The following is a 27,246-nucleotide window of genomic DNA, read 5'->3' as shown; positions in this document are numbered from 1 at the left end:
ATGAGGGTTCTTACTGTGGGAGAAGATAAAATATAAAAAGGGAGAATGGAGGAAGATTTCTCTATGATATAGGATTTGAATAAGAGGTATCAGTATGAACTCACGTTTCTTGAAAGATATATTTCTTAGCTCTGTGCACTGACAGGGTCTAGAAACAATGAGCATATCTAGAAGCATATCTAGCAGCCAAATCTTGGTTTCTAAACAGCACTTTTCATTGAAAAGAACCAGGGAAGTTTGGAGAAACTGCTGATTCTAGGTGTGAGACTGGGAAAGTGTAAGGTGAGCCTAGAATCACGTGTGCCAGAAAATAAGGAAATGCTCAAAGACCAATGGGACTGGGTCAAAATGATGCAGTAACCAGGTTATGGTTGCTCGCATTGGACAAATTTGAGTCAATATGAGCATCTAAAAAATAATGATGGCAATGGAGGAAAAGAGAAAGCTCTTCTTTACAAAAGAATGCCAACTAATAAATGTAGAAAGAAGATGGAAGTAGAAAATTACTGGACATGATACCACTGTAGCACATGTACCTTTGAAGGATTCTGGATTTTAAAAGTATATATATATATATATATATATATATATATATATATATATATATACACACACACATACATATATGATCATTTTGGTGACAATTGGCAATTAAAAAATCTTTATTAGATAATATTGAATCAATGCTAAATTTATTGAGTGTGGAACTATGGTTATGAGGAGAATGTCATCGTTATTAGAAGACACAAGCTGAAATATTTAAAGCTTGCCATAATGTCTGTAAACTAATTTGAATGAAACAGCAAAAAATAAGTATAAATAACGAGAGTGATAAAGCAAATGTAGCAAAATGTTAGCAACTGGTGAATCTAGGTGAAGGTTATAGGTGTTTACTATTTGATAACTGACATTTTCTTAAAAAATAAAAAGCTGGGGTTCAAAAGCTTCATTACAGAAGGAAGAGCTAATGTAACAATATGGTATTAAAAAATTACAACATCAACACTTTAAAATCTCTAACGAGATAATGGATCTAGGCAATGAACATCAATAACTGCTAAAACCATTAGGCGAAAAATTGATGAAAAAGTATATAATGGAGGGATTAGGCTGAGAGCACTTGAATCTGCTAATTGATGTACACACCACTAAAAATGGGATGAACAGCCTGATGTGCCTATTGATGTGATGTAATACGAAGTACACAGAGCCATCTACAAAGTATTCTTACCCAAAAAAGAAAGAAAGAGAACCTGGATTCAATTGAGCCTCAGGCTCTAATTGCCAGTTTACAGGGGGAAAAAAAATGATTAAATGATACAAGAGGGAGACAATTGACCAAATCCAGAATATGAGAAATTCTACAGGACAAAATGACCTTAATTTTTCAACAAATAAATGGCATAATAAAAAGTGGAGACAATGTCATAGGTTACAGAGACTTAAGAGAACTATCAACTAAATCCAACCTGTGAAAATTTTTGGATCCAGATTTAAACAAATTGTAAAAAGACATTTTTGACATTCTGCAATTGCACATGAATGTGTATTGGAGGATATTCAGAAATTATTGCTAACTTGGATGGTGAAAGAAAGATACCAGGTAATAATAAGATCCAAAAAAATTCTTATTTTAAAAATATTACAACTAAAATATTTAAAAGACTAATGCCAGATGGCTGGAATTGCATTTAAAACATTCCAGCAAAAATAGCAATGAAAAAGAATGGTGGAGAATAAATAAAACAGGAGCTGGGTAAAATGTGGATAACTGATAAAGCTGGGTGGTACATACACAGTGGTTCATCATATTATCCTCTTTAATTTTGCGTATGTTTGAAATTTGCATTATAAGAAGTTTTTAAAAAGCTATAATGAAGCTTCACGTACAGACTTTTTTGTACAACTTTCAGATTATTTACTAGAAATAAATTTCTGGAAGTGGAATTGTGAGGTCGAAAGGTATGCATATTTTGAAAAATTTTGATACTTATTGCCTAGTTGCAATAACAAGTAAATACCTAAACTTTTAGCCAAAATTACATATAGCCTCTCCAGAAATATTTAATTCCTGTTAAAGAAATTTCAAGCATCAGTGAAAAAATGGGAGTGATTTTTGTTTGTTCATTTGCCAAGAGAAGATTATTGATGTCTCTTCTGATGACAGTCCCTATCCTTATAGAATATTGGTTATTAAAGTTATTCCTCATTACTGTCTGTGGATGCCGAACTGGTCACACATCTGAGGAGTTGCTTTCACCAAACAGCACTTCTGTTCAGATTCAGAGCAAGAAGTTGAGTTGGCTTCCCTGGTTCTACTTTTTTAATTAAGAGAATTTAGGGTTTTGCATATTTATACAATGAGTCAGAGAGATTTCATTCTACAATGTGAGGACCTTGTTGAAACGTGATTCCTTTCCTAAGGGAACTCAGCACAAGGGGCAGTTATGCCTGGGGAAAAACAAAAGGATCAAAAAGCAGTAAGGGCTGATGAAAGGACTATGGCAGGGGCCTCCGAATGTCCTAGGCAAAGTATGATCATCAGAACTCTAAGGAATAAGAATGAAAGGGGAAAGGATTGGTTCTTTCTTATCTCCCATGTATTAATGATTTGCCATCTTTAGCCAACATAAGAGATATCCTAATTGCAGGAGGGAAAAACATGGATTTCTCAATGATCTCCTTGCCTACTCCTGGACTATCTGTTTCTACCTACCCCTCACAGCCAGGGATGCCCTTGCAGCCAAGATTGAAATGGGTTTTGGAAAAGCATCAGCTGGATTTGTTCACAGCCTGTTTAAGTATGTCAAAGTGACAGGCCACATGCTCTGCTTAACAGCATGGGGCACAGATTAAGAAAAACACAGGCATCTTGGGAAACAGTTTTGCCACAAAACTGAAGTACAAAGGTTCATGTGACTGACTACTCACTGATAAATGTGGTTTTGAAAGACGATTTGCATCTTACAGGGATACTGCCTTATGTAGACCCAAGATGTTGTACGGAGAAACACTTTGTAGCATAACGGAGTTCTAGATACCTCTAAATATTCCCATCTGTTATTTGGGCTGGCCTTGCCTCATTGCGCTAGAGGTTAGTTCCTACCTCAAAATTTCTTCTGCAGGGGATGGGATCTTCGTTATAAGGAGACCTGTGGTCTGATGGTGGAGCCTTCATAAGAGCTTTGATGCCCCTGCAGGTTAGGGTTTGGAGTGGTAAGAAAATCAGCCTGCAGTAGAACCAGTCTCGAACCTTCTAAAATATCTGGTAACATGCAAAGGTCTAAATGCTCTGTAGTCACTGGGGTCCCCCAAATCCTGGATTTTCTTGGAATTCTAAGAGCATGAGTTATTTGCATCAGTGGCCTCAACAGCAAACTCAGGAACAAATTTCTTTGGATTAAATATTCTGATTGAGATGAACTAAAACCAACTTCAATAAAATCTAAAACAAGAAAAGAAGAAAGGGAAGGAGGGAGGAAGAATTTTACAAAGACAGAGGGGTTCATCTCAGAGACCAAAGGCGCACTTATACATGAGCCTCAGGAAGGGATGGGGACCCAGGAGATGGAAAGCCAGGGAGCTCAGTCTTTGTCTGTCATCTGCCTCATTCTTTTTCAGTAGATCATGCTTTTTAGCTCACATGTTACAATTATAGCCACCTTAAAAGATTGTCTTAATATCTTAGTGTCAGTCTTATGGCCCTAGCTTGCCTCACATGTTAATTTCTGACCCAATCAATAATGGCCAGCGAGGAGGGTGCATATTGCAAATATAGCCTCCATGCCCCTTGTCCAGAGAGGGAAGAATGGTGGTAAACAGGGCAGAAGTACTAACAGTTATCTTCTACCCATCATCTGGATGTGCTTACCCGCCATTCTACGCCATCCTTTTACATTTACCAACAATTTATTAAGTACCTATGATGAGCATGGTTTTGAGCTAGGTACCATGAAGACACAAAGAAGAGTCAGACATATTCTATCAATTTGGGAAAATAGGACATTAATGCATTCGAAATTAAATGGTACCCCTAGGTATTCAGCAGAAATGACTATAGTGAAAAAAGAATACAAGTCAGTTTGCAGAGGATGTGGTTGAAGGATCACAGCATATTTTAGAAGTCATCTGCACAATGCTTCCTTTCAATGGAGGACTCCCTTCTACAGCATTGGTGACAGGCACAGGGTCTGCCAGCCTCTGCTGGAATGCATTCGGAGTGTTTTGTGAGGTGGAGAGCCTTTACCATTGTTGACCAAGTTAATTATTAGTCTGTTCTCCCACATAGTAAAACAAAATGAGCTGCCTCATAATTTCTTATCATTGATCCTACCTCTGAGTGTCCTTTACACGTAATATCCTAGACAATATTTAAAGGGTGATGATGGCTTTCTCTCATCCCTACCCACAAGAGTTGACTGTCCTCAACCGTAAATCTTCCCACATTCTTCAATGGTTACTTAGATGACCTGTTAGATCTCTCATGGAGCTCATTCCCCTCATCTGAAAGTTTTATCTATAACCTTCTTAAATTAGGGAGCAAGATCTTGACACTATATAGGGGCTGACCTGTACGGACTATAGAGGGACTGGGATGAGATGTTTCTGTGGTGGTACTTAAAAACGATGGATGGCTTTTGTAGATAGTGAGTCTGGGACTTCCAGAAAATCAGGGGGCTTTTTTGCTCTTTTTTTTTTTTTTTTTTGAGACAGAGTCTCACTCTGTTGTTCAGACTGTGCGGTGGCTCACCACAACCTCCACCTCCCACGTTCACGCCATTCTCCTGCCTCAGCCTCCCGAGTGGCTGGGACTACAGGCGCGCGCCACCATACCCAACTAATTTTTGTATTTTTAGTAGAGACGGGGTTTCACCATGTTGGCCAGGATGGTCTCGATCTCCTGACTTCATGATCTGCCTGCCTTGGCCTCCCAAAGTGCTGGGATTACAGGCATGAGCCACCATGCCTGGCCTTGTTTTTGTTTTAAGTCGGACTTCTGTCCAAGTAATAGCCAATCCTATTCTCTCAAAATGTGGTTCATACACCACCTGTATCCAAATTAACTGAAATTATTTGTTGAAAATGAAGACTGAGGGCTCCTCTCCTAGACTGTTGAATCAGAATCCCTGGGTGTGGAGTTGAGTTGAGAATCTATGTTTGTACTAAACTCTCTAATGTTTCTTGCATACACTGAAACTTCAGAACTATCAATATGGTGGTTAAGAACACAGAATTTCTCAACTTCTAGCTGTGTGACCATGGGCAATTTACTTGACTTCTCTGAGTTTCAATTTCCTCATCTACAAAATGAAGATAATAATTCCTCAGAGGGTATTTGTTGAAATAATAATTTGTGTGTAGTGGACACTGTTATCTACCCAACTGCCAATTCCCAGCTCACCCTCCCCTTCTTTGCCAGTGGGGCTCAGTTTTGTTTGGGTAGGGTGGTCACCATACCATATGTTCAAGGAAGGTGAACCAGAGGTGAATCATGATTGATCTAAGATGATATTGGCAGTCCCATTTCCTTTGTCGTTGATTGGTTTAGGTATGGGTAATGTGATTTAATCCTGGACAATGAGATGTCAGGGGAAATTTGTAGGAAGTTTTTGGGTACAGTTTTCCTAAACAATAAAAAGAGATATGTGGGAGGTGTGCTTTGGTAGATGTTGAAATATCTGTGTGGCACCTGGAATCATTGCAGCCATTGTGCAACCACAAGGGGTGATATTACCCACACATGGAAAATAGCAGAGTTGGAGGATGGATGCTCCCTGGTGTCATGCTGCTCAATTAGCCAACCCTGGGACCAACTCCTCCTCAGCCAATGTGAGACAGGAAACCACCAAGCCCCTTATAGTTAGGTACTCTTACTTGCAGCTGAAAGCATTCTAATAGGTACAGCATGTAAATCCCTTATCAGAATGCCTAAGTCAATATTTGCATAACAAATGACAGCTATTATATTATTATTATTAATAGAAATATTGGACTTATTTTCCATTAAATTTAGGTCAGAGACTGTAGTGCCAATCCTATTATAAGACACATCTGCTCAAAAATACCTGCTGAGGGCTTGTATTTCTCCTTAGTTTCCACCCTTTGTTCTAGCCTAATGAAATCATGGTGGTTCTATTATACAATGTGTATCAGTTCTTCTACCCAGACTTGAGTTTGCCATAGATTTGACAAATTTTTCAGCCTTTTAAGTTTTCACTTGTATTTCACCTCCCTTGAAAGACGGTTATGATTTTAACAGGAAGAAAAGAAGGCTTTTATGTTTGAGGCAGAAACATACTATGATTGAGAATTATTCAGAGAAAAAGCCTAATTTCATGATTTGTCATGGGTGGTCCCAAGTTAAGCATTGTAAAGGCATTTTGGAGGGCAGCTTGTGGAGAGTAAGGAGTTGGAAATTTATCGGGCAAATCCCTGGAGGGCTGGTGAGGCAGTTAGCTGAAGTTAGGTGCCTGCCCAAGGTCATTCAATGATGGCATGACCAAAGAGGGATTAGAATTCGCAGTCACAGTGCCTAGAATTCCTGTGCGTGACTGGACTTTGCTACGTGATGTTACTCGGGGGCAACACTAATTATTTTGGCAACAAAATCTCCAGAGAACAAGGGGAGGGATAATGGCGGAGTCATTGACTCAAAGAGTGGTACAACTGGAAAAGATCTTGGGATTATCTGGTCCAACATTCTCATTTTACAGAGAAGGAAATTGACATCCATAGAGGTCAAGTGATATATACAAGGTCATATGGCCAATAAGTGGCAGAGCAGTGATGAGGATGCTTGTCTTATGATGCTTGATTTAGTGCTTTTTCCGTGACGAATTTTTTACAAAATTCTCCTTTTAGAATTTTATGACATGAGAGCTCCAAACATTTGACAAAATTGTAAAGTAGACTGCATTCTCTTACATCTCTTATTAGATTAATTGCTTAATTTTCATTTATTCTACTGTCTAGTTTTAACAGAACTTCCTATGTGTATTAGTCTGTTCTCACACTGCTAATAAAGCCATACCCAAGACTGGGTAATTTATAAAGGAAAGAGGTTTAAGGGACTCACAGTTCCACATGGCTGGGGAGGCCTCACAGTCATGGCAGAAGGTGAAGTAGGAGCAAAGGCATATCTTACATGGTGGCAGGCAAGACAGTGTGTGCAGGGGAACTCGCCTTTATAAAACCATCCGATCTCATGAGACTTATTCACTATCACGAGAACAGCATGGGAAAGACCTGCCCCCATGATTCAATTACCTCCCACTGGGTCCCTCCCATGACACATGGGAATTATGGGAGCTACAGTTCAAGATGAAATTTGGGCGAGGACACAGCCAAACCATATCACTTGAATTCCCAGCAAATGTGCTAGGTCAGTGCTTACTTTCCTGGTTGGTCTATCAAGACGTATTTGTGATGTATGTCTACAATGGAAAGAGTCTGACTTTTGTGGTTCTGGAAGCCAGTGTTATTACTTTTTGTTTAAATAGCATATATGAAAATTGGGGAAATATTCCTCATGGCTGAACTATCGTTATGGAGCACCATGTGTTAAGAATTGATCTTGAGACAACACACTGGATATGCCACATTTTATTCTTATTAAAAAAAACTGAGAAAGTCTATGTTATTGTGACAGTGTTACAAATAAGGAAATTGGGTCTCAAGGTGATACAGCTAAAAGCTGTACAACTGGAATTAGAAACCAGGTTCATTTGAATCCAGAGCCCTTAATGGATTTCAAAAAAGTGGAATGAGAATTCTGATAAGTTTAGGAAGGCAGAGAATGAATTTGGGGCCTAAGGCACAGACCACAGAAGACGGTATTGGGAGTAGAGTGATCTGGGTCATCTGCAGAGGTAGTGAGGGCACTTGGTTTCAGTCACCAGAAACCAAGAGGGTTGCCTATTTCACAGTGTTGCCTGGAGCTGATCTTGCTTCTGAAAACCTACCAAAAATATGTTTGGTTTGGAAGGAGACATGGTACCATCCATCAGCCAATTAAAGGTGCCCAACTAGGAGTTAAGGTTTTCAGACTGATGTTTCATTCACAAAGGGAACTGGACTCTTGAATTCTGTCTCATGAGGGAGAGGTAGCCTCATTCAGCTTGGACAGATGATATAGAGTAGGGATTTAGAGTGTGGGCTATGAATTTAGAGTTAGTCTGTCAAGTCCCAAGATGCCAGTTACCAGCTATATGACCAGTGTCTTTAACACTAAATTCCCATTTCTAAAATGGGATAATAATAGGACTTACCTAATGGCCTTGTTGCAAGGGTTTAGTGAGACGATGCATGTAAAACATGAAGCAGAGAGAGAGGCACTCAGTAAATAAATGTTTACAGCCATGCTCGTTATAATTGTTCCAGTGGCTCTGTGTGAGAATCGGAAGAGCAGGGCTCCACCTTTACACTCCCTCTACAGATCTGCATTCCTACTTTCTTCAGGAGGCCACACAAATTTTCTGGACCTTAATGTTGCTGTAGAAAGTCAACACAGGAGTGCGCATGGCCATGCAACCTTATGTCACGTGGGAAGTAGGAAGCCATGCAGAGAGAATGCCTGGCTCCCATCCTACACTAGGTGACTAGGTGTGTGTTACGGTCACTGATGATGCCTTGGGGAAAGTAGTTTGTCTCTGAGCAAGATTTGAAGCCAAGCTGCCTTGTTCCTAAAAATGGCTACAAAAGTCCATTTTCTCCATTTGCATCTGTGAGATTTTAACTTATGGAGGTACGGACTGAGTGACGACAAGGAGAGGCCGATGCTATTGAAAGTAGAATTTATTACTTGCTCTTCTGAGAGGAGAAACGCCACATCATGCAGATTCTGTCAGAAGGGACAAAGGAGCGAGGGGAACACTTAGGCTAGAGCCTTGTTTCTGCAGGAAAGGTAAGGCAGGGCAAACAGTTCAGCTTTGCCTAGTTTGAATAATCCCAGCAGGCTTTGGTTTATCTAGGTGGTCTGTGGTTGCCTAATACCTGGCCCTGAGATAATTTAGCTCAGGGGAAATATTGGCTAGTGTGTGAGAGATAGATAAGGAGGTGGTTGGTGAATATGGGCTTGAGTTTGGTTGGTTTGTGTGTGAAAGGCATGCTTATAGGCAAGTTATTATCCTTAGGAATTAGATAGCCCCGGGAGGGGTGGTCTCTTCTGGGGTCTGTAAATTCCCCAAAATGTTGAAATACCAAAAGATATCTAAAATTAAAAACATGATTGATATACTCATTCATCGGGCCCCACCTTCATTCCCTAGCTCCTACCCCTCATGGCTGTCTGAAAGTAGATGAAGTCATAGGTATCAAGTGCACATGTCCAGCAGTTTTGGGTAGAAAAGCAAGAGCAGCCTGGTGCTGGTGGCTCACGCCTGTAATCCTAGCACTTTGGGCGGCTAGGGCTGGAGGATCACTTGGGTCCAGGAGTTTGAGAACAGCCTGGGCAACATAGCAAGACCCTGTCTCAAAAAAAGGAAGGAGGGAAGGAAGGAAGGCAGGAAAGAAGGAAGGGAGGGAGGAGGGAGGGAGGGTGGGGGAAGGGAGGAAGGGAGGAAGGAAAGAACTTGTAGGCTATGGTGAAGGATACTAAAAGTAGCTTTGTATTTTTTCTCAGATTCTGGGGTGTCACACATTTTACAATCTGTTTACAGCCTGCACAGGGAAAAGAAGAAGAAAAGCAATGACAAAGAAAAAAGTTATGAGAAAACCTCCTACCACACAATCTATTTTTCAGTAGCACTACTAGGCAACCTGTAAATTCACATCAGGCCTGCAGCTGCCTGTTGCCAGTTTAGAATCCTGGTTGCCATTCTAGGAAGAAGTCTATGTTATAACTGCAGATTTCACCTCATAAAAACAAATACCACCCAACTCCTGCCCACACAAGAGCATTTATGTTGTGAATTATTCACTGTATCTAATTTTCTTTTTGGGTAGATATTTTTGTAAGAGGTGTAAAATATTTAACAGACTGAATCAACTCTCGTGCAGTGTTTTACAGCTACTTTGACTTAATAACCTGTATACATATTCCTGAGCCTTGAGTATATCATACAATGATGGTTCATGCTCACTTTCCATGGCCACGTGCGGCCAAATAAACTGCAAACTCAGGCGTGGCTCCAGTTTTATTGCCACAGTCTCAAGGCACTATTCACACTGCAACTTATCTTCTATGTGTTAATGGGTGTCTTGCTGATAAAGGTCATCCGCATTAGATACAGCAAAACAAATCTTGAGACCACAGAGTTGGAAGTATTGCATTTATTCTCAACACTGGACAAAGGTGTTTTCCTTCCTTCCGTCCTTCCTTTTCTCCCTCCCTCCATCCCTTCCTGCTCTCCCCTCCCCTCTCCTTCCCTCCCTCCCTCCCTCCCTCTCTCCTTTCCTTCCTTTCTTCCTTTTGTTCTTTCTTTTTTTTTTTTTAACAGAGTTTTACCATGTTGCCTAGGCTGGTCTCAAACTACTGAGCTCAAGCAATCCACCCGCCTCAGCCTCCCAAAGTGCTAGGAATACAGACATGAGTCACCACACCCGGCCAGTGTTTTCATTCTTTCTAATGATACTAGACATATACATTGCTTTGATCTCTAAAATTTGATCTCTCTAAATATTTATTGAGTATCTACTCGGTTATAAGCTCCTCAAAGGCCTGTTCATATTTTTATATTCCTTTCATAAGCAGTGAACTGTATCAGGCACATACTGGGAACTAAAATGAATACTTAATCAGGTATTTGTTTTACGGCAGCGTTTCCCAAAGTGTATGCCCATGGTCCACTGAAGGTTGACAGGATCCATGTGATGGGCACTGAATGAATAAATTAAAAAATGCGAGCCTGGGGCGGTGGCTCATGCCTGTAATCCCAGCACTTTGGGAGGCCCGAGGTGGGTGGATCACCTGAGGTCAGGAGTTCAAGACCAGCCTGGCCAACATGGTGAAACCCCGTCTCTACTGAAAATACAAAAGTTAGCCAGGCGTGGTGGCAGGCGCCTGTAGTCCCAGCTACTCAGGAGGCTGAGGCAGGAGAATCACTTGAACCTGGGAGGCGGAGGCTGTAGTGAGCCAAGATCGCATCATTGCATTCTAGCCTGCGCGACACAGCGAGACTCCATCTCAAAAAAAAAAAAAAAGTATATATATATAAAATATATATTTAAAAGTTTTAAATTTGATTTGCTGTGTTGTCTTGTAAGACATAATTCTATTTTTTCCCTTATAAGAGCTTTGGGATCTTTAAATAAGTGATCTTTATCATTGACATAATTGTAAAATGCTTTTGAGTTCCACCCCCAATTTCCAACTAAAACAAAATCCACCATTGGTTGTACTGCCAGAAAATTAATTTTAAGCTTTGCCATGATGTGTTTATCCCTGTGGGAGTGTGCCCTTGCATGGGAACAATGCTGTCTTGTCTGTAGCAATGAAAAAAAGATTGAGATATATTCACTGTATACTATACATTGAACACTTACTATGTACAAGGCAGTGTTCTGTGTGCTGGAGATAAAGCAGTGCCTGGGTACAAAGCAATGTCTTTGCCCTTGTAGTACTTACAGTCTATTGGGGACAACAGATAAAAATAAGTTAATGTATAAAATATCAGGTAGGAATGAGTGTTGTAAGAAAAGGTAGAGAGAGAGTGATGGGGTTGGAGGAGACTATTTTAGATAGGGTGATTGGAAAAGCCCCTATAATGAGGTGGCGACTGAACAGAGACCTGAATGAAGTGGAGGAGTGAGCTATATAGCTCTCTAGGGAAAGAGTGTTCCAGGTGGCGGGAACAAGAAGTACAAAGGTCCTGGGGTGGGAATATGTTACATTTTATTTTATTTTAAAATTTTCTTTCATAAGGAGGCAAATAAATCTTTTCATTATTATTATTATTATTATTTTGAGACATGATCTTGCTCTGTCACCCAAGCTGGAGTGCAGTGGTACGATCTTGGCTCACTACAACCTCTGTCTCCTGGGTTCAAGTGATTCTCCAGCCTCAGCCTCCCAAGTAGTCGGGATTACAGGTGCCTGCCACCATGCCCAGCTAATTTTTGTATTTTTAGTAGAAATGGGGTTTCACCCTGTTGGCCAGGCTAGTCTCTAATCCTGACCTTGGGTGATCCGCCCACCTTAGCCTCCCAAAGTGCTGGGATTACAGGTGTGAGCCACTGCACCCAGCCAAATACATCATATTTTAAATTGACTGCCTGCAGAATAGGTAGAAAGTAACATAGTGGTACGAAGAGTAAAATGTAAACTTGGCATTTAAGGAGGAGTGAAAAAGATAAACAAGTAATTTTTCAACTTTCAGCTGTCAAGGAGCTTCAAAATTGTACTTTATAGAAATAACAGTTATGTCAGAGGATAGATCACTGGCTCACAGGCCCCAGAGTATTTTTATTTCTTTCTCATATTTAATATGCCGAAATGGTCTTCTGTCTTCACCTTCCTCTGCTTGTTTGGACAGGTGTCAGAAAATAAGATAGGCGTTTTTCTTATACTCACAGCTTTTCTCCTTATGTTATATGCACATACACTCAGTCCTATTCAAGTCTTCAGTCTAGCTGGTGTTTATATTTTTTAAAAACAAGCAGAATTGGGTGATTAGTGAACTGATTCTATTTACTTTGAAATACTACATGAGGCAGTGATGTACGCCTAAATGTTGGTTTCCAAAACAAAATATATCTATGGATTTTTCTTTCTGCTGCTCTTAGCCCACTGGTCCCTCGCATCTTGGGAGCAGGGGCATCTTCATGCAGCCCTGAATAGTGTACCATCAGTATGAGTATTTCCTCCATGTAAGAGCTGAAGCAAGTTAATGATGGGAAGAAATACATTCATAGTGTAACAGGTGTCAATATTGACCATAGTTGTTCATCAGAGAACGTGTCTCCCCAACAAAGAAAGCACTTCAGCTGACCCACCGATGTTTACTCATCCGTGGGGCCAACAGTGTAGTCAGTTTTAAGATAAAAGATCACACAAGGACTTTCTTAGAACTATAAGGAAAAGAGAACTTATTTTCTGCTTGGAGCTGCTGAGAAGGTAAGAAATAATTTAAGAGCCAACAGGCATCATTTTGTTATCATAAAGAGAAGTACTGTCCAGGTGCGGTGGCTCACGCCTGTAATCCCAGCACTTTGGGAGGCCAAGGTGGGTGGATCACGAAGTCAGGAGATCGAGACCATCCTCGCTAACACGGTGAAACCCCGTCTCTACTAAAAAACACAAAAAATTAGCCGGGCATGGTGGCACGCGCCTGTAGTCCCAGCTACTCGGGAGGCTGAGGCAGGAGAATGGCGTGAACCTGGGAGGCGGAGCTTGCAGTGAGCTGCGATCACGCCACTGCACCCCAGCCTAGGTGACAGAGAGAGACTCTGTCTCAAAAAAAAAAAAAAAAAAAAAAAAAAGAGAAGTACTAACTAAAAATGGTGCCTACCCAAGAAGAGCAGAGCTGGGACATTGTTTGCAAACCTGGAGCCACCCATACCTGAAGCCAGGATACCGCTCTCTCTTTCAGTTATAGGAGCTAATTAATTCTGAGCAGAATTTAAATGTTTTCCGCATTTTTAAGTTTGTCTTTGCTTAAGAAAATGAGTTGGGTTACTGTGTGATATGGTTTGGATTTGTGTCCCTGCCCAAATCTCATGCTGAAATGTAATTCCCAATGCTGGAGGTGGGGCCTGGTGGAAGGTGATTGCATCATGGGGGTGGTTACTCATGGTTTAACACCATCCCGCTTCCTGCTGTCATCCCAATAGTGAGTTTTCATGAGATCTGGTTGTTTAAAAGTGTCTGACACACCCCCCGTCTCTATCTCTCTTTTCTCTCTCTCTCCCTGTCTCTCGCCCCTTCCATGTAAGATGTCTACTCCTGCTTTCCCTTCCACCATGAATAAAAGCTCCCTGAGGCCTCCCCAGAAACAGATGCATCCATGCTTCCTGTACAGCCTGAGGAGACATGAGCCAATTAAACCTCTTTTCTTTATAAATTACCCAGCCTCAGGTATTTCTTTATAGAAATGCAAGAACAGACTAATACACTGTGACCTACAAGTGAAAGAGTAACTTTCATCTGACTCCCTTCTGGTGCCTCCCGGCAAGGTGCTAGAGCATCCAATAGACTGGAGAGGAGGCAGGGAGACCTGTATCCCTCAATTGCCATGAGGAAAAATTTCAGTGCTGGACATATGATGGAATCATCCAAAGTATATGAATCAGTTAGTGTACTTTTGTGAGTTATGAAACCTAAGCCTTTATTCTTTTTGCTCTGCTGTAAATTGAATAGAATAAAAATCCACCACAACCAAAACCACATCCAATCTGAGCCTTGCTCTTCAAAAATTTTAGCCGTGCAAAGCCTACATTAAAAGATATCTTTGGCCGGGCATGGTGGCTCACGCCTGTAATCCCAGCACTTTGGAAGGCTGAGGCAGGCAGATCACTTGAGATCAGGAGTTCAAGACCAGCCTGGCCAACATGGTGAAACCCCGTCTCTACTAAAAATACAAAAATTAGCTGGGCGTGGTGGTACATGCCTGTAATCCCAGCTACTCGGGAGGCTGAGGCAGGAGAATCGCTGGAACCTGGGAGGCGGAGGTTGCAGTGAGCTGAGGTCTCTGTCTTAAAATAAAATCAGATAAATCTTCCAGAAAAAATACATAGATTGGACTCCATTAAAATTAAAAACTTCTGTGCATAAAAGGCATTATCCACAGAGTAGGAAGGCCATCCACAGAATAAGAAAAAATATTTGCAAATTATAAATATTATAGGAGATTAATACCCAGAATATATAAAGAACTCTTACACCTCAACAACAACAAAACAAATAACCTAATTTAAAAATGGACAAAAGATCTAAACAAACATTTATCCAAAGAAGATATGCAAATGACCAATAAGTACATTTAAACATGCTCAACATCACTAATTACTAGGGAAATGCAAATCAAAGCCATAAGGAAATACCACCTTATACCCATTATGATGACTATTATTATTATTTTTTTAAAAATCCAGACATGCTGGGTCACACCTATAATCTCAGCACTCTGGGAGGCAGAGGCAGGGGGCTCACGAGCCCAGGGGTTCAAAACCAGTCTGAGCAACATAGTGAGACCCTGTCTCTAGAAAAAAAATTTTAAATTAGCTGAGTGTGGTGGTGCACACTTGTAGTCCCAGCTACTTGGGAGGCTGAGGTGGGAGAATTGCTTGAGCCCAGAAGGCTGAGGCTGCAGTAAGCCATAATTGTGCTACTGCACTCCAACCTGGGCAACAGAGTAAGACTGTCTTCAAAAAAATAAAATAAAATAAAATAGAAACAGTAAATATGTGTTAGTGATAGAGACAGGAGGCAGCCAAAAGTCCCCTGGCAAAACCCCGCCCTTGAGCCTAAAGCAGCCTGAAGGCTGAAAAACCAGACTGCTGGTTCTGGATGAAGCCTGCCATTTCCTGACTGATTCTTTCTGAATAATGCCCACCTGCACACTGGGAGGACGGGGTGGAGCCTCGGGAAATTCATGGCGTTTGCAGTGGGGAGGAGCCTGGCCTCTCCTGTTCCTGTGTGGTGACCTGGGATTCAATCTGTGAGGCAGTAAATCTGCTAGCAGGACTCTCTCTCTCTTTGCTAAGAATTATTTTGCCTTTTTCCTTTTTGCCCAATAAATTCCGTTTTCCTTACTCTTGTATATGTCCGCAAGCATAATCTTTCCTGGTCGTGTGAAAGAGCCTGGTTTTAGCTGAACTAAGGATAAAGTTCTGCAACATTAGTGAGGATGTAGAGAAATTGGAACCTTTGTGCATTGCTGTGGGAATGCTGCAGCTGCTATGGAAAATGGTATGGCGTGTTCTCAAAAACTAAAACATATAATTACCATATGATCCAGCAATCCCACATCTGGGTAGATGACCAAAGGAATTGAAAATGAGGGCTAGAACAGATATTTGCAAAGCCATGTTCAGAACAGCACTATTCAGACTAGCCAAGGGGTGGAAGCATGCCAAGTGTCCATTGACAGATGAATGGATAAATGAAATATGGTATGTACATATAATGTGGAATATTATTCCGTCTTAAAAAAGGAAGGTAATTCAGATACACGCTATGACATGCGTGAACCTTGATGACATTGTGCTAAATGAAATAAGCCAGTCACAAAAGGACAAATACTATACGATTCCATTCATGTGAGGTACTTAAAATAGGCAAAGTCACAGAAGCAGAAAGTAGAATGGTGATTGTCAGGGTCTGGGGGGAAGGGAAATGGGACATATTGTTTAATAGATAGGGAGTTTCTTTTTGTGATGTTGACAAAGTTCTGAAGATAGATAGTGGTGATGGTTGCAGAACAATGTGAAAGTACTTAATGCCACTGAATTGTAAACTTAAAAATGGTTAAAAAGGTACATTTTAGGTATTATATATTTTATCACAACAAAAAAATAAAATATAAAGATATCATCCAGAAGAATTGTGCTTCATTTAACAAACAGAAGATACTCCCAATCTTAATCAGTTGATGTTAGACAGGAAAATGGGAAGGCAAAGTGATTGGCTGTGATGTTTCAGATTCATCAGCAAAACTAGGGTTTTTACATTCAACTAAATATGATAATTAGGTCATGTGCAAGAATGGAGCCTGCTTGCATGAACTTTCATCTTTCAACAATGACAGCAGAAAGAGGAATAATAGACACTGGTTGCTAACTAATGGCCCTTACCTTTTTTGCATCTTCAGTAGTTGTAGCAGGAAATAAAAGCTTGTCTTTCTTTTTAACTTTGTTTTTTAAAGGTACTCAAATGCCAACTTTACTGTTTCTATATAAACTCCTTTTTGTACTGAAAACTGTAAAAATAACAAAGTTTGCTGTGATTGCAATCCAAAATTTTGAAAGCCAGAAAATCTAATTATTATGCTATAGCCAAACTACCTAATGCTTTCTTTATCCACAAGTAACTTTGCTTCAATTTCTTGATGTTGGGTTTCATCTCATTGACTTTGGGCTTCTAAGACACATGGGAATACTTATGTCGTCTTGGCTTCTTTGGGTCAAATCAAACAGTAGAGCTAAAGTTATTCAAATACATTCAAATTACACAGATCCCTTATAAATTACTAGTATCATAGCGGGAAGAAAAAGATACAAGAAGAAAAATACATCCTAGAACTCATTATCAAAAGTATTGGTGTATAGTCTATAGTAGCATAGAGTAGCTTTCTCAATCTGCTATATAAAATTACCAGCAAGAAAAAAAGGTACAAGAATAAGGTTTATGGCTGAAGTGGCTTGGTGTCAAAATTCCCTATTCTAGCATTCTCAGAAGGATCCCATCTGTTAAACAAGCAGAAACTGCAGGGACATCTGAATGGTCTTGATTCCTTCTTAACTCCCTTAAGCCCAGTGTTTGTTAGTATTCTTTCATGCGGATGAACTCCGCCGAGTAACATGTATCTGAATCTTGCCATCCTCTCTCTCTGCACAGACAGCAATGTTCTTACTCCTCTCCTCCTGTAAAGCAAGTGATCTGTGATTTCCCTGAGGATTGTTGCTCTTGTAGACTGTTCATGGAGTGAACATTCCGGTAGAGGGGAAGGGGATTCGTTACTAGCATTGACAGTCAAGTTATTAAGGTTTTTTGTCAACGTCTCGGAGCAGATTTGAGAGGCCCCTGAATCGTCCTGGGAATTTTCTTTGGTGAGCATTTGTGAAGACTCTGGGATGGAGGTTGGATTAAACTTCTGTGATGGGTCCATCAGCATCTTGACACAACACTAAGCTTCTCCTGGATCTTTGAAACCTTGCAGAAACTGATGACGGAGCCTCAAATTGCTATAAGGTAGCCCAGAAAGAGACTGAGAACCAGATCCCCAACCTCTTTTTAACTTTTTAAGCTCTGACAGTCTTGCTTGGCTTAACTGTTGAGATTCCTCACTTCCCTGTAATGTTCTTCATGTAGTCAACATGAATTTACTCAAGTTTGACTAGATGTGATGGTCAGTGGTTTTGTGCAGGTTATTCTGTTTGCTCTTCTAAATAGATTCATTCTCAGCCCTTCTCTGTTTGATTCTCTGCTTCAGGAGGAGATAATTATGGGCTGCATCACCTTGGCTCCATCACTGTCTGGCTTCTAGCACAGTTTGGCCATGGAGAGGTAGCAACAGGAGATGAAGCAAGCAGGAGGAGAGTGCTCTGAGCATTCTCTGGATGCTCCCTGCCTCACCATGGTTTTGGCATGGCTGGGATCCTCTATCTCCCACTACTGCATCTGCAGGGCAGCTCCCCTCCCTTGACTATAGATCTCACTGCACCCTGGAAACACCATTTCTCTTTCTTATCCATTCAAGCTTAGGGGAAGTAACAGCCCAAATGCTGCTAGTCCCTAGGTATTCCTTGATGCTTATTGTTTTCCTTAACCGTGCCCAAATCCTTGACACAGTTCTTTCATTTCATCCTCCTCAATTAACCCTTTGAGCATGTCATTCAGTTCCTTCCAAGACATTGACTAACACAGACATTCGTATGCCACCAACACTGGCTCTTCTGATGGTCCTGCTTCCCTAATAAATGCTGATATGCCCAGAGAGAAGAGTTTAAAAGGCCGGGTTGTCATCGATGGCTTGATATCCACATGTCCTAAATTCACTGACTATATGTAAAGCATTTATTACAGTGCCTGGCCCATAGTAAGCATTCAATAAGAATTATTGTTGTTGTATCATCATTATAATAACCAGAGAATGGCAACCATTGTCTTTTTTTTATTCACTAAAGGGATGAACTTCATTTATCTGCTGACATTTTATTTCATTGTTATTGGGGGCTTAATACATGCCAGGCCACTTAGTGGCTTTACCTCATTTAATCATAGCTCAGAGCAGTGCTATGAGATAAGTACTAGAGAATTATTATTTCTGTCTGGCAGATGAGGATACCAAAGCTTAGAGAAGTTATGTGATTTGCCCAAGATCATACTGAGATAAGTGGTGAAGCTGAAATATGAACACAGGCTGCTGGCTCTAGAACCTGTGTTCTTCTCAAGACATCCACAGCCTGCCAACATAAGATGGGCGTGGTCCCTTTCTTCTTGGAGGTAAAGAGGAAAACAAGCCTTAAATAAGTAATTACAAATATGCTGCATCTTACTGGGCAAATCGAATGTCATCCAGGGAAAGTGACATTTAAGCTGAGAACTGAGGGAATGAGGCAGACACAAGAGATGGTCTGCCTTTCACCTGCAGATTTGGGAGCAAGTTGGGGCAGGGCTGTCCGTGTTTCTTCTTGGATTGTCGCAGCAACACTCAGCATCTTGCTCTGAACAAAGTCTACCATCAGCGAATGTTTCTTGACTCTATTGAAATAAAGATACTTAATTTCTCCCCTATGGATGACTACTTCTGGTGGAAATCTTCCTTAATAATCGCTTGTAAATCAAAGTCTTCACAGTGCCTTGTAAGGTTCCAGAACCAAACTTGCCTCCCGGTTACCTGTGACACCTACTAATTTCAACAGAAGCGACATGTGTTTACCTGAAGGGAGAATTTGGTTGACAGGATATTGCATAGCACTTAATGACAATTCCATCCCCTTCAAATACACAGTTAGTATCTATAATCATTGTTTAAGAAGATTACATGTCACATGAATTAGAGGTTGTGGAGTCGGAGCCACCTCCACTGTCTGATTGTTGTACGTTCCTTATCCTCTTTTCCAGTTACTTTCCTTCTCAGATTAACACCGTGTTATTATTTTTTCTGGCACCTGGTTTTCCAGGTTTAAAAAAAGAAGAACTATAGCACAAGATATATACATATATATATATATGTTTGTATATATTTGATTGAAATTACTTTATAATTAGATTGTAGGGAGAAAATCATTGCCAAACATTGCTCCCTGAAGATCTTTCCTCATTGGAAGCATTGTCAGTCCAGAAGAGTTCAGCTGGGGTCTGTCTGCTGTGAGCCCCAGAGACTCATTCTGGCCTCATGCACCTGTTCTTTATTTTCCTAGAACCATGCTCAGGAAGGAAATGTTGCCTCCTGTTTAGGCTGTGGTCTGGGATCTGTGAATCATCTGGATATCCCTCTGCATGTTAAAAAGTATTTCAAGCAAAACATAAACATCTAAGTGTTTAGTGGCTGGCAGCTGCAGGCTATAGGCTGAGATGTATCAAAACAAAAGCATTTATCAAACTTTCTAATAATGCTCTTATCTACACCAACATCATTTGCTTTGTTTTTTCTTCTTTGCATTTCTTCTCTATCTCCTCCACTCACATTGCATGATAGAAAAAGTACTAAATGAAGGGTTTGGAAACTCAAGTTCTGGATTCAGTTCTGCTACTGACCTTAGTACCAGACACAAGTCATTGAATTTCTCTTGGGCCTGATTCCTTCTTTTGTTCAAGAAGTATTTGTTGAAAACCTACTATAAAAGCTACTTTACCTGGGATTCAGAAGTGAAGAAAACCTACATAGTTTCTGCTGTCATAGGATCCTTACTGGCAGTCCAGTAGGAAAATGAGACGTGACCACAAAAAGACAGAAACTCAGACTTGTGATGTGAAGTCAGATATTTGTCTATAAGTCTGTGGCTTCCTTGTCTATAAAATGGGCATGGCTGGGTGTGGTGGCCCACGCCTGTAATCCCTGCACTTTGGGAGGCCGAGGCAGGCTGATCATCTGAGGTCAGGAGTTCAAGACCAGCCTGGGCCAACATAGTAAAACCTCATCTCTACTAAAAATACAAAAATTAGCCAAGCATGGTGGTGCATGCCTATAATCCCAGCTACTCGGGAGGCTGAGGTAGGAGAATTGCTTAAATCCAGGAGGCAGAGGCTGCGGTGAGCCAAGATGGTGCCACTGTACTCCAGCCTGGGCAACAGAGTGACATTTTGTCTCAAAAAAAAAATAATAAATAAATAAATAAATAAAATGGGTATAGTATTAGATATGCTATATTTCCCAATCATTAAAGCATTATTTAAAATGCAGCATCTGCAAAGGAACTAGAATACCCAAAACAATTTTTAAAAAGAACAAAGTTAATGGAATTATACTATCTGATTTTAGGACTTACTAGAAAAGCTAGAAAATCAGGACAGTGTGGTAGTGGCATAAGGACAGGTATGTGGATTAATGCAGCAGAGTTGAGAGTCCAGAAATAGACCTACACTAACATAGTCAATTGAGTTTTGATAAAGTGCCAAGGTAAGAAAAGAACAGCCATCAATAAATTATACTGGAATAACTGGATCTCTATATTAAGAAAGGTACCTTGACCTTTTCCTCACAGCATACACAAATTTCACTCAAAACAGAGAGTAGACCTAAATCTCAGAGCCAATACTATAAACCTTGTAGAATAACATATAGTAAAAAATCTTCGTAACCTTGGATTAGGGCAAGTTTCTTATGTAATAGATTACAAAAAGCATGAACTGTAAAAGAGAAATTGATAAATTGGGCTTCATAAAGAGTTAAAACATTAGCTTGTCAAAAGACACAATTCAGAAAATGAAAAGCTAAGCCATTAAGAGAAAATATTTGTAAAATATATATCTAACAAAGGATTTGTATCCAGATAACATTAATTTCTCTTACAACTTAAGAAAACAATCCAATAATATAATGAGAAAAATATTTGAATAGACAATGCACAAAAGAAAATACATGAACTGTCAAAAAATCACATGAAAAAATGCTTAGCATCATTAGTAATTACAGAACTGCAACTTAAAACCACAATGGGAGACCACTACACCCACACTAGAATAGCTAAGGTTAAAAATACTGGCAATAATAAGTGTTGGTGAGGCTATAGAGCAACTAGAAATCTCATACGCTGCTGTTGGCAATGGAAAACAATACAGATGTTTCAAAAAAAGAAGCTTCTTAAAATGTTAAACATACACTTACCGCCCAGTAATTCCACTCTTAGGTATTACCCAAGAGAAATGAGAAAATATGCCCACTGAAAGACATACATGAATGTTCATAACATCATTCCATAATAACACCGAACTGGAAACAATCTGAATGGCCATCAACTGATATATAGATAAAAAGAAAATGGTGATATACAGTTAAATATTAACAACTAAAAGGAATGGAGTTGATGGGGCTACAGGGCACAATACCCCCAAAATATGACTGTAGGAGACCAGAATATACCACCTCAAAATATGCTTTTTTGGCATAAGGATTATTTGAGGTGATTCTTCTGGGAAACAGCAGACACAGGAGAAGCTCTGAAAATGAGAGTAGAGGTTACCCTTTTGTAAGAGAAATGTACATCTATAAAGGAACTCTCCATTTGTAAGATTGTCTCCCTCTCTGTACCAGGAGGAAAGGATGGTAGATCACTAGACACTCTTGCCAATGGAGAAGGCATAGGCTTAAATCTGTACAACAAATCTAAACCTCGTTTATGGGGCTTTTCCTGGCCAGTTCCCCATAACTAGGCATTTCCCACACCCTTCTTTCTTTATTTCAGGGGACATGGTACATGACTGTAGTCTCAAGTGTAAGCAAGCTTTTGAGATCTACTCTGGCGATTTTATTCACTCTTCCCTGAGTATCTTCCACATATGCATAAGGTATACATGTGATTAATCTTCTGTTTGTTTTTCTCTTATTAATCTGTTTTTTGTTACAAGGGTCTGTTCCAATTAAGAACTCATGAAAGGTAGAGGAAAAATTATTTTTCCTCCTCTATAGAGTACTGATGCAACAATGTGGATGAATTTTAAAGGCACCAGGCTAAGTGAAAGAAGCCAAAAACAAAATACCATGTATAGTACTGTATGATTCCATTTACCTGAAATCGTTGTAGGGCTTTCTCCTTAGTTCAGCTAAGAGCCGGGTCATTGTCACACGGCCATGAAATATTAGGCCCACAGACACTTTGAAGGGTGAGAAAAATGGAATTTATTGGGTGAAAAGGAAAAAAAGGGCAAACAGGGACCCTCAGCAGAGTGAGAGTCCTGCTAGTAAAGGCTTCCGCCTCACAGATTGAATCCCGGGTTCCACCCAGGAAGAAGAAAGGCCAGGCTCCTCCCCCTGCAAATGGCACGAACTTCCCAAGGCTCCACCCCAGTGCGCACTCCTCCCGGGGAGCAGGCCGGTTGGAGTCTCTCTGGGGATCCCTTCCCACCTGGCTGTCTCAAAATATTTAATGAAAATCCTAAAAAGACAAAACTAAAGGGACAATAAATAGATTGTTTTTTTCCTGGGGCTGGGGATATGGACAGGAGTTGAATGCAAAGGGGCCTGAGGACAATTTCGGGGTTATGGCAGTGTTCCAAAATGTGATTGTGGTGGTGGTGGCATGACTATTTTCATTTACTAAAATCCATTCACACTTTAAGTTGGTGAAGTTTATTGTATATAAATTATTCTTCAATAAAGCTGTAAACAATGTTAATTCAAAATAAATACACACTTGGAGCTTACAGAAAGTAATTCTACAAAGCAAGACTTTGGCAGTTTCAGAGGACCAAGGAGAAGTTAGGAAGCAATACGGTAGGAAAATTTTTGAGGTTCATCCCAGAGAAACTTCAATTCATAATGGAACCCCAGAAATCCTAAGCCACATAGCACTTGAGTTGGGACACCCTGTCTGGAAACAGGCAGAAATGTCAGGCACAGAAATAGGTTTCCTATCACTCACGTAGAAATCTCGGTCAGAGGCCACAGGCTGTGGCTTCAGTGCTTTATCTGGCTAGATAAATCCTTACGGGTTTCTCCTCATCTGCTCTCTGGAGCCCTGGGGGTGAGAGGGTGGAAGTGTGGAGCAGCCTAGCCTCCCTGGCTGGGTTTGACCCACTGACATGGAAGGAGTTCTTTCAACGGTGGGATTTCTGCAGCCCTCTAGTTGCTCATACTGCTGCTGCTGCTGGAACTTCATGTTTTCCATTTCCAACTTCTATCCAGGACTTTGACATTTCCTGTGGTGCTGGTTTCTCAAGCATCAGCATCCCACACAGTAGAGAGCCAGGTTTACTTCTCTTAGGAGACCCCCTGGGCCTGAGCTTGGCTCTCCTCCCCAGTCCCTTGATTCCAGGCTCTGGTCTCCCAATTTTCTTCCCTTTCAGCATTCAGTTAGCTGCTACCTCTCCTGTGAGGTGTTGGTGAAGAACATGATTTCTCCTTAAAACTCTCCCTATCTGAACAGGCATGTTAGACTCTCACTCATGGCCTCCTTCCACATCCTTAGAATCCTAATGTCACAAATTATTGGACTCCAAAAAGACTTTACAGAGAATCTAGATCTGACATTTCCAGAATATCTTCCTCAGAACTGAAGGGTATGAATAGATGGTCAGTGGAAAATAGATTCCATTATCAAATGCATCTAGAAAATGCCAATCAAACATGTTTCTCCATACTGTGTATTAAACACACTTTGGGTATTTTTTTGCATAAATTTATGGGGTATGAGTGTAATTTTGTGACATGCATAGATCGCATAGTGGTGAAGTCAAGGCTTCTAGGGCATCTATCACCCAAATAACATGTATTATACACATTAAGTAATCTCTCATCATCCACCCCTCTCCCATCCCATCGCCCCTCCAAATCTCCATTGTCTACCTTTCCACACCCTATATCCATGTCGATATTCACACCTTAATAATGAGCGTGATGACAAGGGAGAGGGGTGGTGAAATGTGGGGGATATGATGTACAGTGTTTGGTTAGAGAAACATTTTTTCTTCTTTCAGATTATAGAACAGCAATAGAAATATATGTCAAGTTGAAATATTCTGCCAACTGTATCTGTAACTACATATGTAATTTTCAATGTTTTAGTAGCCGCATTTAAAAAGTAAAAAGAAACACGTAAACCTAACTTTTTATATAAATTTTATTTATTTATAAATAGGCTTCATTTTTTGGTTCTAGGTTCAATTTTCTGCAAAATTGAATAGAAAGTACTGACAGTCCCCATATACCCCTTTCCGCCAACATGCCCAGCCTCCCCTTCTATCCCAAATTTAATAATGTATTTAACCCAATCTACAAAATGATTATTATTCCAACATTAATCAACATAAAAATTATTAGTGAGACACTTTAAATTTTCCTTGTATGTTGTTTTAGTTTTTATATTTTAAAATGTGACCCTGGCCACATTTCAAGTGCTCAATAGCTAAATGTGTCTAGCGACTACCTGTGAGTGCAGGTCTAGAGTGCCAGTTGTTCCAAGGATCGTGCTTTAGGAAATGCTGATCTAGTCACACCCTCTGGTCATACAGATGAAGCTGTAGAGCCCTGAAAGCTTGAAGTGATTTTGCTGAGTTACAGACCCAAGTCACGTCAGAGCTGAGATCAGCACACCAGTTTTCTGATCTGTACAGGTAGTTCTTTCCACTACACCATGATGCAAAAACACATATCTTTTTCTTTGTGGAAGGGAGAATTCCAACTTGCTTCCTTTGCCCCACAGAAGACCCTTCTATTCCTTCTGAATTGAATTGAATTAGAATGGAGCCTAGTTCAACCACAAATCAGGGCTGAGTTTGCAGTAACTGTGCACAGCCTTTCAATCTACCGTGTGCTTCTTGGAATCTCTGTGCTGTCTTTTCTTCTTAGGATTTGCACAGTATCCACTGATTGTGTTTCCTATTCACATCAGAGACTCTTTCAGGACATAGTGCATTGGGATCCCTAGCCATGGAATTGCTGTGATGGTCCCTGGGCACTTGGGCCCTGGAATGAGGAGTCTTCCATTCATCATTTATTCAACAAATCTTACTGAACACGCACCATCTGCCAGATCTTGTTCTTGGTGCTAGGGACAAATAAATGAACAAAGGAAATCCTTGCACTCTGAAATTTAGATTCTAGTGGCAGGAGAAAGATGAAAACACACACACATGTATTTATATATAAACTTTCAGTCTGTCAGATGGCAATAAGTGTTGCCGAGAGAAGATAAGACAAAATAAGGGGAAAGGGGAATAAGGAATAGAGGCAGGTTTAAGAGTGAGGGATTCCTTTGTTCTCTAATCATGGTGTTTATTGATGGAAAAGTGGAGTGATTTAAGGAAAATATTCTTCTTAGCTTATATACAATTTGTATTTAAATGCCTTCAACTCCTTTGTGAACATGTGGGTCCTCTTAAATAAATAATGAGAATATTAACAGCTAAGGCACACATGTTACTCATGTGACACTGTGCTGAGCCATGGCATTTGACAATTTAATGAGAAATGGAGCGTTTATGCTATCTGAGTACTCATTTTCCACGTCTCTGTAGTTAATAGGTGTTGGGAAAGTAAAAATTGTCATGAGCTGGCCCTTTATTAAAATCAGTCTCCATTCAAATGTCTATTCCTGTTTGATCCATCATATTTTCTGACCAGTGGGCCAGTCACCCTTGTTGGCCATAGTCTCATTAATTGTCAGATATTTACAACATGATACTCTACATTGAAAATATAAAGCAGAAGGACTGCAAAGGGAAAAAGCACAATTTGCTAAACATTTAGAATTTCATGAAGTTGATGAAAGTGATGGAGGAGAGCTACTAGAACTACTTGCAAGCCAATGGCAAACAAGGATTTGACATGACTCAACCTGTTAACAATTGAAGAAAACAATGATGGGAACAGTGACAAGTGCTTCAAAAGGGAGAATCCAATACCAAAGCAATAGATTATTGCTCCAAACTAATTTATTTGTTGAATTTTTTTCTGAGAATAACTGTACAGTTGAAATTTTAAACTAAATTTGGTTAAATGTAAGACAGTTTTATAATTGGTGTAATTTTTAGTTCATTTTTCAAGAAAATGTCCCAATAACACCTACTTTTTCCAAATGATATTTTGGTGCATTTATTTTAAGTAGCCCTAGAGGCCAGGTGCAGTGGCTCATTCCTGGAATCACAGCACTTTGGGAGGCCAAGACTGGAGGATGGCTTGAGGCCAAGTGTTAGAGACCAGCCTGGGTAACATAAGGAGACCTCGTCTCTAAAAAAAGTAAGAAACAATTAGTAAGGGATGATGGCGCTCACCTGAAGTCCCAGCTATTCAGGAGGCTGAGGTGGGAGGATCCCTTAAACTCAGGAGTTTGAGTTGCAGCAAGATATGATTGCACCACTGTACTCCAGCCTGGGTAACAGAGCAAGACCCTGTCTCAATCAATCAATCAATGTGGGAATTTCCAGATACCAGTTACCCTTAAATGACAGGAAATGGCCTTCCTGTGCTAATAGTATCTACACTTTTCAGG

General features: G+C 40.3%; 1 long non-coding RNA gene and 1 pseudogene across 1 annotated transcript in view, besides 1 other annotated feature; one reads left to right on the top strand and one right to left on the bottom strand.

Moving 5' to 3' along the window:
* The window catches only part of LOC643339 (uncharacterized), a 373,979-nt gene that overhangs the window by 324,710 nt on the left and 22,023 nt on the right, over positions 1 to 27,246 (top strand). The window lies entirely within an intron of this gene.
* Positions 15,276 to 15,453: a silencer, noted in NCBI's record as "fragment chr12:93431350-93431527 (GRCh37/hg19 assembly coordinates)". NCBI's record gives its function as "represses an EF-1alpha promoter that drives an FKBP-Casp9 reporter gene in an ReSE screen in K562 erythroleukemia cells {active_cell/tissue: K562}" and the evidence as "EXISTENCE:reporter gene assay evidence [ECO:0000049][PMID:32094911]".
* On the bottom strand, positions 16,796 to 17,881 carry DPPA3P5 (DPPA3 pseudogene 5; annotated as a pseudogene).

Source organism: Homo sapiens, chromosome 12, assembly GCF_000001405.40.
Source record: "Homo sapiens chromosome 12, GRCh38.p14 Primary Assembly".
In the NCBI taxonomy this organism is placed as follows: domain Eukaryota; kingdom Metazoa; phylum Chordata; class Mammalia; order Primates; family Hominidae; genus Homo; species Homo sapiens.
Note: the sequence above shows the minus strand (reverse complement) of the source record. Positions and strands in the feature narration are given on the sequence as shown.